A 13,037-nucleotide genomic window follows, 5' to 3' on the forward strand; every position below is an offset into this window, starting at 1 on the left:
AGGGGAGGTGGCTGTTCCAGACTAAAAGAGGCAAAGTAAGGTGTGAACTTTGGATCCTAGGTGGACAGCAGGGAGAGGGGACAATTATAAAAGATATTTTTGGGACAACTGATAAAATTGAATTTGAGTTGGATATTATAAGACAGTATGGGATTACTGATAATTTTCTTAGGCATGATAATGGTATTGAAGTTTTTTAGAGAATGTCCTTACTCTTAGGAGACATATAATGAAGTATTTAGAGGTAAAGCATTATGCTGCTTATAATTTACTTTCAAATGATTTGGGGGCGGGGGTAGAGAGAGTACTGTAAATATTTGGAGAGAAACAAAGCAAGTGAGGCAAAACGGTAACAATTAGTGAACCTAAGTGAGGGCACATGGGTTTTACTTTTCTTTCAACTTTTTTTGTAGGTTTAAAATTTTTCAAATTAAAAAGTTGGGAAATAAAGGAGAAAGTTTAAAAATGAAACCAAACAAAAAAAAGGGAAAACAAATAAGAGTCCTGGGCTCTATGCTACTATCTCCTACTAGTCTTCCAACTTTGGGGAAAATCCACCTGTGTCTGGGCCTGGGCTTTCTGTCTGTGGAATGAGGATGGTGGAGTAAATGGCCTCCGAGGTGACCCCAGTTCTAAAGTCTGTGGACACGATGAGGAGTTTGCAGGAACAGGACTCATATGCCTTGCTGGGTCCACCTTGTCCCTCCAGACACTCACCCAGGTATCAATTTTTCTGAAAGAGGCTCAAAGAGCTTGTTTTGTGATGTTTTAAGGTCTCTTCCTTTGGTTGGAAAGATTTTAATACACTGGGGTCTTAAGACTTTCTATGGTCTTAAATAAAGCTCTAATGTAACTGTAGTGAATATGATGGGACTAAAACCATTAACGTGCTTCTTGTTAAGAATTTAATGGCATAAAAAATGTCTTCAAGGCCTGAAAAATTTATTTTATCTTGGTGTCTTGCTACAATTTCACTTGGATTTTTCAGTCAGATGTTAACTATGGTTGTCTTCTCAATATATCTGTGGTTGTGCTGATAAAGACTGAGGAAATTCTTTATACTACTGTGGCAACTGAAGAGAGTATTAGCAAAATACTGTTTTAGGGATGATACCCACAGAGGCACGTGTGAAGAAGCAGCTCTGCTCACACATTGCTCACCGAACCTTCTATCAGAATGAGTAGTTTTCATCATCTCCCTCACTGGGCTACCCAGCAGAGTGCTCTACTCTTAGGAAGTGCTCAGGTAATGTTTGTAATTTCGCGGAATTTAACTGACATCCAGCAAGCAGGTCATATGGTAACAGTTTGGTTTGTAACTGTCAATAAAAAAAAAAAAATGAAACATCTTGTGAAATGCTCATTTCCTTGATATTGTTCCTTTTTTGTGTGTGACAGGTCTAGTTTCATTAATAGTTCTTCCATATTATAGACTTTTATAAGTGAGAACTGAATAAATGGAGATCTTTCTATACACTCGGCTGCGTGAGATGCAATGAAATACTCAGCCTGCTGCGTGACAATCATACCACCTCCCTGGAGGCATCGGAATGGCACCCTGAACACTAGTAACTTTGCCACCTTCTTCCCTGTCTCATCCTTTACCCAGTCCTGGGGAGGGAGCTGTGTCAACCAATTTGTTGGTTAATTCCTAATGAATTTTCTTTCTAAAAACTTGGGAGTATTTCACATGTCAGAGCAGCTCTGCCCTCAAAAACGTAGAAATCCTATTTCTAACAGGAGATTTTATTCAAGCTAACTATGAATCTGCCAATTTTAATGGTAGTACATTTGCTATGGTCTACATTGGGTTAAAATCTCCCTATAGGGCCAGGTGCGGTGGCTTGCGCCTGTAATCCCAGCACTTTGGGAGGCTGAGATGGGCAGATCACGAGGTCAGGAGTTCGAGACCAGCCTGACCAACATGGTGAAACCCCATCTCTACTAAAAATACAAAAATTAGCCAGGCGTGGTGGCGGGCACCTGTAATCCCAGCTACTCAGGAGGCTGAAGCAGGAGAATCGCTTGAACCCAGGAGGCAGAGGTTGCAGTGAGCCGAGATCACACCACTGCACTCCAGCCTGGGCGACAGAGTGAGACACCGTCTTAAAAAAAAAAAAAAAAGAAAAAGAAAAAGAAAAAAAAAACCTCCATATAGCTCAAAGAGAGCCGAGGAACACTGAAATTCAAGATCCATAAAACAGGAGAAGGGACTGATCCAAATATTGGCAACTCTCAAAGGTTTTAATACATTAGGTAGGATATGGGTATTTATGCTGATACAATAGATGTCTAAAAATTCTTTAGTCATCAATGGTCCAAGTGATTTAAGAACTATAATCTATCTCATACTAGAAAGGACCTAAAATATTTTAAAATAAACATTTTCTATAAACCCATAAAGCATAAAAAAAAAAAAATCAAGGAAAACTTATACCTGAAGGGAGCAAGGGTGAAGAAAAGGAAAAAGTCGAACACTGGTCTGCAAGCCATGAGACATAACAAAGTTGTCATAGCTGGTCTTTGATTTTAGCTCTGAGCTTCCTGGCAACTAAAACCAAGAGGGAATCTTAAGCAGCTCCATGGCTTTCACTAATCACAAGGGGAAACACATTTCAGTTCTTCAAGGGAAACAAAGCTACTCCCCACGGTGAAAGTCCATGTCTTATTTGTATTTGTATCCTGTACTTGGACAGAGCCCGGCAACCCATAGCATTCATTAGCTGAAGCTGCCCTTCTTCTTCCACTTAATTCTAAAAGGAATTCCTCACGTAGAGCTTCACACAAGGGGCTCTGGGAAATTCAGGGGGGGCAGTATCCTTAATAATAGGCCTAAAGTACCTGAAGTGATGGGTTTCATCAATCTGTTTCTTGTTGCCTACCTCATAACACAGAGACACAACTCAGGGAAGCAATCCTGGGGTGCATGTGGGATGTCAAGCCTAATAGCAATCTAAGATCACTGATTTCTGTAGGACATGTTTGATCCGTAATAAAATCTAGTCTGTCTATGGACTGTGTGTCCTTCATGCATATCTGCACGTGCATACAGCATTTCTCATGATTGAACTTTTGATAATAATTACATGGCATGTGACTGAATTCAAGGTTGTTTGCTCTGGTAAGGGCCAGAAGTGCAGGTGCTCTCTGTGGCTGATTAAGAGAGGATTAATAGGCTCATATCAAGCAGTAACACAGCAGCATTGGGGGTCCCTTCACCATGCTAGACTTCTAAAATGGAGGGTGTGCAGCAAACTAAGAATACCAAAATGGAAACAGTTGAAATGGAAACCTGCTTTTCTCCTGGGATAATCATCATCATTGTTAGCTGGGGAGACACCAATGACTGTATAACCCCTGCCCATGTGGAAATGGAACGTGATACTGAAGCTTTCAGGGTGGACTCAAACTTTGGAAGGCTGCTTGGCTAGTGATGGGGCAAGAGTGGGTGGGTATGGGGAACTGGGATAAGGCCAGGAGGCTCTGAGGAGTCTGGGAACAGACTTTTGCTTCTAAGCAGCTCATTTTTTTCTAACATCATGGCTGCAGCATTTCTTCTGTAGTAATCAGACTTTTAAATTATGGAGTTATTTTACAATTACTACTTCAGATAAAACAAAAGCTTCACTTTCTCTGCACTGATGAATGAGCTGGTGAGAGGATGAAGATTTTCATTCACTCTGGATGGAGTTTGAATCCACCTATCCATCATCATGGTCAATGATGCCTCTCATTATTCTTAGTTCATGTCATTACCTGGAACTTCTCCTCATAGTTCTCGAAGGCTTCCATGACCATACACACAGCCTCCATTGTGCGCTCAAGCCGGCCATCCATCCTGTTGAAACGGTACATGCTACCAGACACATCTACCACCAGGCGCAGACGCTTGGGTTTCTGTTGTGGGCTGCCAAGCTGAGGGAAGGAATAACAGAAAAGCCGTTTGTGAACTGGCAAACTTCCCCTGGTGGCTGTCTTGGGGATCTCACAGAAGCTCCAGCGTGCCAGCCCCGAGATGGGCAGACCAGCCATAGGCTCAGCCCTGCACAAGGCTGTCCTAGCAGGTAGCAAGGCATCTATGGGTTGTACTGCAGTAAACAGAATTTCAGACTTGTGCTAATGGTTGGGGCCACATGGAAAATATTTTCCTTTGGAATATAGTCCTTTTAAAGCTCACTCTAGTAAAGTTGACTTACCGAGGTTGATGCCTTAAAAATAATATGATGACTTAAAAATAATAATCTGGAATGACATGTCATTTTCACTTCATGCCTCAGAGTCAGTAACTCTAGCAAGAGTTTGTGTTATTTTGGAGGGAAGCCCATGTCAATTTTACTTGTACGTATTGGGTAGTGACCTGAAAATTATTCTCCACACAGGCCACAGGTAATGTCAGATTCCTAAAACAAAGTTATGTGATGGGGGTCTGGCAAAGAAATTAAAGAAAAGATTTTAAAAACGACTTTTGTGTTTACTAAGCTGCACATCTTCTCTTCCTTCCACATTACTGAATTAGTGCTTTTCTTTTCTTGGCAGTTTGAAAGCATAAAAGTGACATCAAATTGTTCTAGAAACAACTGTCAATTAAGATTACAAGATTAAGTTTGATTTTAGACCCACGACTGCCAATTTGCAGATTTTAAGAAAAAGTTTGTTAGTTTTGCTGACGATAAAAAAGAAGAAGGCTGCGTGCAGGGGCTCATGCCTGTAATCCCAGTGCTTTGGGAGGCCAAGGTGGGAGAACTGCTTGAGGCCAAGGGTTCAATACCAGCCTGGGCAACACAGCAAGAACTCATCTCTACAAAAAAATACACAAATCAGCTAGGGTGGTGCTATGTGCCTATATTCCCAGCTACTCAGCTGGGTAAGCTGAAAGGGTCACTTGAGCCCAATAGTTTGAGGCTGTAGTGAGCTATGATTGTGCCACTGCACTAAAGCCTGGGCAACAAGCAAGACCCTGTCTCTAGAAAAAAAAAAAAAAAGGAAGAAGAAAAATTCCAGATTATTCTGTTATTAAATATTTGCTGTTATTAAATATAAAAAATAATGAGCAGAGTTAGTAATTTCAAGAAAACACGGTGGGTATTGAGAGTGTAATGGTTTGAGGCAAATTCAACATATTTCTTAAAAACTTGTTGAGTCTGCCCAAATTAAGAACACTTATACATATGCTTCCATGACTACTCACAATTTCAGATGTATCCAAACACATTTGTTGACCACAATGATTCAGTAAAGAAAGCAGTTGTTGACTCATACCAATGACACAGAAATAAGAACTCCCCAAATCACCAGATCCTCTCTAAATAAATATTTAAAAGGAGTGACTCTCCCTTCCCCCTACCAGTCACTGCACCCCCAGCTCTCAGTGGCGACTCAGCAATTCTGGTTACCCAGGAATACAGGAGATCACAGAGCTCACCAAGAGACTCAATATTTCATCCTGTCATCATTTTGTTTTGCTATTACATTGCAAATATTTTAAATTTATGGCTGTCTAAAACTTTACATACTACAATTATAGTTACTTAAGGGAGACGTTCTTATTTTCTATATTTTTTTTCAGTTATATGATGGACACTGATCTTTAAAGTAAGAGAACAGTAGAAAATCACTAAGGTTGTTTTATTGTTTTCACTTGAAGGTTTCTCTAGGCTTAATAGACACACCAGGTGTCTTCAGTTTCCCCTCCAGGGCACCTGCTCTGTGTCCTGGGAGTTGATCTGTGTGGACAATCCGTGTTGGAGCTCAGAAATCGATACCCTCTAAATATGGTGCTTGGACATGCTGAACTGAAGAAGCAGCATCAAGGTCTCACTGACCTTCCTCCCTCTCCCCACAAAGCACTGGATAATTTGTTCTCTGAAGTTTCTTCAACTGTCTAAAGTTCAGAGCTCCAAAGAAGAAAACCATTACTCTGGGCCCTTCCCTGAGTTTTCATCAACTGAACTCATATCACAGGAAGAAAGGCTGAAGTCTGTCAACACACCTGGACAGACTTCGGTCACAAACCATTGCTTTGTGGGCCCAACAGACTCTGTCCCAGGCCACTGTGTGCTCTTCAAGTCCACTGAATTGCCCTAAAACCATTTACTACCCCCGTAAAATCATCTACACTTCTCCATCTCCTTTTCCCTTAAGAAGAAGGGTACATAAGCATCTGTACTTCACTGTGTGGAGGGGGACTCACCCTTGGTTTCACCCCGGTGCACATTAATACATTTGTATGCCTCTTCTCCTATTAATGTGCCTTTTGTGAGGTGATTTTCAGAGAACCTTCAGAGGGCGAAGGGGAAGTTTTCCCTTGGCCCCTACAATCACATCAGCTGGCCTCTTGGCTGCTGGCTCCCAGTGGGTTCTGCTCATGGGAGGCACTGGTGGAGGTCAGGGGGTGAGGGTGGAGTATTTATTCCCTTGGCCCCCTCTCTGCTGTTGCCCATGGGTTGGCTCCCCTTCTGCTGAAGGCCACCACTCCATCAACCACCTTCTCCAGGTTCCAGGAACTGCTGTCTCATTCTGCCCTTTTAGGCCTCAGAGTGAGTTAGATCCCTGCTGTTGCTATCCCTGGGTTACTGCACTGTTTATTTTTGATTTTCCTAAACCCCACCCTTATTTTTGTAAATAGTCTTTGTACTGACTGTTTCTTAAATTACCTAATTTGAGCATGCCTTATGTTTCTTGCTGGGACCTTGAGTTGAATAATAAATAGTATAATATTTATGGAGTTTTTCTTCTTCTTCTTCTTTTTTTTTTTTTTTAACATAATGCTTTCCTTGGTTACCATATTCAGGATTTGTGATATTTTGACACAACTCACGAAAGCAAGTTTCTGTAAAGAGGGCTAGACTATGCAGAGCTGAGGCTAGCAGTTCACCATGACTTACTTGTGGCTCCAGCTCACCCCGACGTTTGTAGATGGCTTTTTCTCCAGTCAGCCCATCAATGATCTTGGCATCATCTAATTCTCCAGTAGCTTGATGTCTTAGCCATTGTCTTTCTTTACCTTTAGCCTACAAAAGACACACATACACACACAAAGCCTTAATTAGTTATGCAGAGTCTCTGACATACTTTGTGCATGAATAACAGGAAACACACCTGGGATCTTTTCAGTAAGTGATGGTTCTGCATGAACACAGTCATATAAATGAAGTGGTTTCTGCTCTGCTGACAAATAAATGCCCTTTGTCCGTTTTAATTCTTTCAACATATGGAACAATAAAATGAATGAAAGATGGTATGCAAATGAGTCCCTGGAGAGATGTCCAGTATCTGGAAATATAATAATGGGGGCGCATTTCTTACAGATTTTCTGTCACGGTGCTTCTCAAAAGTTTATTAGTTAAAATAATCAGCTTGAATTTGTTAACATTGTCTGTAAGCCCAGAGAAAATGTGACCTTTAGAATTCTACCTTTTGGTAAAGAGTTTGTTACTCAAGTTCTCTGGGACTTAGAGTGCAAATGGAAATAGCTGAAAACAATAGTATGTGAACATTTTGTACCCCACAAGTCTTTCTGGTTATCTATTTTCAGAAATCTTCTGGATTACTTTTCTAAAAGTTTTTTCACATAATACTTTGCTACAATAACTTACAATTATGCCAGATAGACTAATTTTACGGCAGTAAAATGATAAAGAATTATAGTATCCCAATCAAGGCATATGCTTATTACAGCCAACTACTATATTTACATTAATGAGTGGGAAGAATAGCTAAGATGTTTTTATGCATGCAAACTAAAGTAGTAGTTAAGATTATGTGTTCCAGGCAACCTACAAAATGGGAGAAAATTTTCGCAACCTACTCATCTGACAAAGGGCTAATATCCAGAATCTACAATGAACTTAAACAAATTTACAAGAAAAAAACAAACAACCCCATCAAAAAGTGGGCAAAGGACATGAACAGACACTTCTCAAAAGAAGACATTTATGCAGCCAAAAAACACATGAAAAAATGCTCATCATCACTGGCCATCAGAGAAATGCAAATCAAAACCACAATGAGATACCATCTCACACCAGTTAGAATGGCAATCATTAAAAAGTCAGGAAACAACAGGTGCTGGAGAGGATGCGGAGAAATAGGAACACTTTTACACTGTTGGTGGGACTGTAAACTAGTTCAACCATTGTGGAAGTCAGTGTGGCGATTCCTCAGGGATCTAGAACTAGAAATACCATTTGACCCAGCCATCCCATTACTGGGTATATACCCAAAGGATTATAAATCATGCTGCTATAAAGACACATGCACACGTATGTTTATTGCGGCACTATTCACAATAGCAAAGTCTTGGAACCAACCCAAATGTCCAGCAACGATAGACTGGATTAAGAAAATGTGGCACATATACACCATGGAATACTATGCAGCCATAAAAAATGATGAGTTCATGTCCTTTGTAGGGACATGGATGAAATTGGAAATCATCATTCTCAGTAAACTATCGCAAGAACAAAAAACCAAACACCGCATATTCTCACTCATAGGTGGGAATTGAACAATGAGATCACATGGACACAGGAAGGGGAACATCACACTCTGGGGACTGTTGTGGGGTGGGGGGAGGGGGGAGGGGATAGCTTTGGGAGATATACCTAATGCTAGATGACGAGTTAGTGGGTGCAGCGCACCAGCATGGCACATGTATACATATGTAACTAACCTGCACAATGTGCACATGTACCCTAAAACTTAAAGTATAATAATAAAAAAAATAAAATAAAATAAAATAAAAAGAAAAATTCAGGAAGCATTGACACCAAGGAATGAATAAATTTAGTAAAGATCTTTACTCTTATTTGTTTTGAAAAAAAAAAAAAGACGTTATAGCTTTCAGCTCTGGAAGTTCTATTTGTTTTTCTTTTCAATAGTTTCCATTTCTCTTTTCATTATGTTCATATTTTCCCTAAAATCCTTGAAAATATTTATAATAGTGTTATTAAAAGCCCTTCTCTGTTAATTCCAAAAAAAAAAAAAAAAAGATTATGTGTTCCAGCATCAGCCTGGTTCTAACTGTTCTTTCACCACTGTTCAATATCTGATCTGAAGCAAATTACTTAACCTGTCGGCATCTTTGTTTCTTCATCTCTAAAATGAAGATAACACTAGTCTCTACTTTAGTAAGCTATTGTAAAATTAATAAAATCTTACTTGGCATCAGCTAAGAAAGAGCCTGGTGAGCCGTGTTAGCTGGTACTATTATTTATTGCAGTGGATAAAACACATATGGACAACTTAGTCCACTTTAAGTTAAGCATGCTTCCATCAGTGTTTCATGGGAGGTGGCTATGTGATAGCACTGTCGTTGGAAATACAAAGCCACTAAGCCTCAGGCAGCTGGTGTCTGTTTTAGGGCCAGGTCAGCCATTACACAAAGAAGCACCACACAATATAATTCTGGGTATTACAGTATGTATTGTTTTCTTGTTCCTGATACCCTTGCTGGAAACAGGGGCAAAATTACCATTTTGGAATACCAATAGATTAATGCAAACATCACCAGCATATAGATTATTAATTTTGGTGGGCAGTTAATTCTAAGAACTACCATGTATGTGACCCTTGGGAGAATGTTCTTTCCAGATTATGTTCTTGGCAAGAATCCCATGATCTCTCAGGAAAATGGGTCACTCTGGAGCATAGCTATCATGTAAAACTTGATCAGATACCCAGCTACGGGTGGCAAGAGGAAGGAATGTGCACAGTCTACTAGAATCTCTTCCTACTGATCTATCTGTGAATCAGACAGACAACCTTGACCACACAGCACAGTCCTTTTCAGGCCCCCTCCCTGCACCAGTGATTGGGACTTAGCTCTTATCTCTTCTTTCCTAACATTTCTGTTCTCTAGTGTGGATAATCCTCAGGCTTCCTGGATAATTTATCCTGGGAAATGCTATTGTGGATGACCATTTATGTACCTTCAGTCTTCACATTGTACAACTCTTGGAGGTACCAAGCTGCAGAGCACTGGATTCTAATGGCTTTCATAGATGAGGACAGACTCTCACAGACTAGTCTAGACTGGGAAAACCAGCACTGAAGAAAGTAAAAGAGAACAGGGTGGCAGTGGTTAGCAGCCATTAAAGTGGCATGGAACTTGGATTCTTGGGCCGGGTTTAAGAGAAATGTGGGATTAGAACTGGAATGAAATTGTATATAACATGTTACTTATTGGCCATGGCACTGTCATCATGAAGCATTGATTTTCCAAGTTTTCATAAATACATTGAGAAGGCAATGACCCCAAGGACTCCCTACCCAATCCCATTAGCTGCTACATGGTTTTATTAACCAGTGATGCTTTTACCATGTAAAGAGCCACTGTAATGGCTATAGATTGTCATTTTTGTAATTTTTGTTTTTTTTTTTTTGACACAAGGTCTCTGACACCCAGGCTGGAGTGCAGTGGTACGATCATAGCTCACTGCACCCTTGAACTTTGAACTCCTGGGCTCTAGTGATCTTACCACCTCAGCCTCCTAAGTAGCTGAGACTACAGGCATGTACCACTACACCTGGTTAATTTTTTATTTTTAAATTTTTGTGGAGTTGGGGATCTTGCTATATTGCCCAGGTTGGTCTCAAACTCCTGGCCTCAGGTGATCCTCCCACCTCAGCCTCCCAAAGTGCTGGGACTATGGGTGTGAGCTAATTTTTGTGATTTCTAATGCAGGTCACAACTGTAGTAAAAATAAATTTAAACCCCACCATCTTACCACAGAGAAAATAAAAAATGTTAAAATTCTAACTAATAATTCTACTGTCCTCTTTATTTTGGTGTTTCTAAAACCAGAATATATCTTATAGTTGATGGCAAAAAAAAGTTGTCAAGATGACGGGTAGAGGGACTAATTGTGACCTGGTTGCTGTAGCTGGAGGACACACAGCTGATGTTGGCGGAGCATAGCAGGCATCAGCTCACGGAATTATTTCCATTGATAACTGAGGTTTGTTTTTAACTTTGGTTAAAATTCCTAACTATTATCTTAAACAATTCAAAAACATTACACTATATAGAAAATTAGAATAATGAGCAAAGAAATGGAGCATTAGGATGCAAATACACTATAAGCGAAGCAAGATTCTTTGCTGCAGAAATGACTACACTTCCAATAAGATTTACAAAGGCAAGATTCCCCCAAGGGGAAGAATTTGGGTTTAAATTTGTTGGGAAGACAAATTCCTAGAGGACTGCATGTCCCAGGCCATGCAATTAAAGAGGGAGAAACCGCTACATTTCATGAAATAGATCACAGAATGCTTAAAACTAGACGAAGTTGAGAAGACTGATTCAAGTACCATGAAGGACTATTAGGCCCTGTCAAAAAATTCAAGGAAAGCTGTTACATTTTCTGTGATATGTAATGCAATTAAGCAAAACATGTAACTCTCAGTTTTGTTCACCATCATGCAAGAATCCAGGGATTTTAGGTCTTAATTTTCTTGTGCTGATATTGCTTCTTTTCCCATAATGATTATCTGCCCTTAAGGTACTCTCTAGCTTGAAGACTGTTTCCATTACATATGCCAATAAAAGAAAAGGACTTGGTAAAATTTGCAGTGAGAGTAAGGGAGAGGGAAACACTTTTTCCAATAAATCTGCTGCCTTTTTCTTTCTTTTTGGGGGTTAACTTTTCAAGTTTAAGTACTTGTAATAAAGTATACAAATCTTAAGAATGTACTTTTACAAAGTAAACACACAATCTTAATCATCCACACCGCCTAAGCCTCCCAGTGCCCTGTTCTGGACATTACCTTCTCCCTGCCAAAGGTAACTCCTATACTGACCTCTGTTACTATAAATTAAGTTTGCCTGTTTCTGAACTTTATAAATATGAAATCATACAATATATACTCTTTTGTTTCTGGCTTGTGTGGCTCAACATTATCTCTGTGAGTTACCCATGTTGTGTGTGGCAGAACTTTATTCTCTTTTGTGCTGCAACGGTATTCCATTGTATGACTTTGTCACAATTTACCCATTCTACAATTCTGCTGATTTCAGTTTGGGGCTATTAAAAATAATGCCACCATAACTGAACATGTCTTTTGGAGCAGGTATGTGCATATTTCGTTGTGTGGAAATGCTGGGTCACAGAGTATGGATATGTTCAGCTTTAGCGTATACTGATGAACAGTTTTCCAAAGTGGTTTTCCCAATTTACATTCCTGTGAGCGGAGTATAAGGGTTTCATTTGTTTCTGTCCTCACCAACACTTGATATTGACAGCTTAAAATAATTTTTTTAGCCATTCTTTTGGTGTACAGTATACTCCTTCATTTTTATTTTTATTTGCAGATAAATTAATTACTTTTGGTACTGCTTGTCATTGATATTTTTAGGAACATGAACCAGTAGTTTTTGTTCTTGAGAACTAAACATATGTATCAGCCTTTTGAGTCAAAACTATTAGGCACAAAGACATTTTTATAATAGTAGCACTGTTCATTAGTTTTCAAGTATGTAACTTGCAGATAAATATGGGTAGAAATCTGATTTTCTATCCTCTAGCCAGCCCACAAATACTTGGAAACTTAAAACAGGAAGAGGTGTCAGAATGAATGCTCTTGGGGGCAATGGGCTGGAGGGGGAGCTCTTTAGAAAGTTACTGAAGGCTGAATAAAAATATTTACTGTTTTGGACTGTGTATATAAAGCCTTCTGTATTTTATGAGACTTAGTGAAATACTTCTTGAAACAGCTCCTACTGCATTTAAATATATGCTTTTGTTTATAATAAAAGGCCAAACATGTTCTTTGTTATATATTCCTATTGCATGAAGTAAAGTATCCCTGTAAATATGTCCATCTGTTTTGTATTATACATAAATTCACACTAATGAGAGTTCATTATATATAAAGTGAGGTTGCATTAGTAAAAAGTCTATGTTACAGACTTTCTGAAAAAGAAATATAATTTTATTACTTTCACACAAAGAATACTTAGACTCACTGAAATACTCAGAGAATGATGTATTCTGGTTAATTCATTTTCCAGGAAATACTTGCTTAACCAGAAAGTACAC

General features: G+C 39.4%; 1 protein-coding gene across 1 annotated transcript in view; it reads right to left on the reverse strand.

The window, feature by feature from the left end:
- Window positions 1-13,037, reverse strand: part of VWA8 (von Willebrand factor A domain containing 8) — a 394,275-nt gene that overhangs the window by 16,921 nt on the left and 364,317 nt on the right. Inside the window, exons 41-42 of the mRNA NM_015058.2 lie at window positions 6,885-7,010; window positions 3,757-3,915 (exon numbers count right to left, since the gene is read on the reverse strand). Of these exons, the coding sequence (NP_055873.1) occupies window positions 3,757-3,915; window positions 6,885-7,010 (285 nt within the window). The remainder of the gene's footprint in view (window positions 1-3,756; window positions 3,916-6,884; window positions 7,011-13,037) is intronic.

This window comes from Homo sapiens, chromosome 13 (assembly GCF_000001405.40).
Source record: "Homo sapiens chromosome 13, GRCh38.p14 Primary Assembly".
Taxonomy (NCBI): domain Eukaryota; kingdom Metazoa; phylum Chordata; class Mammalia; order Primates; family Hominidae; genus Homo; species Homo sapiens.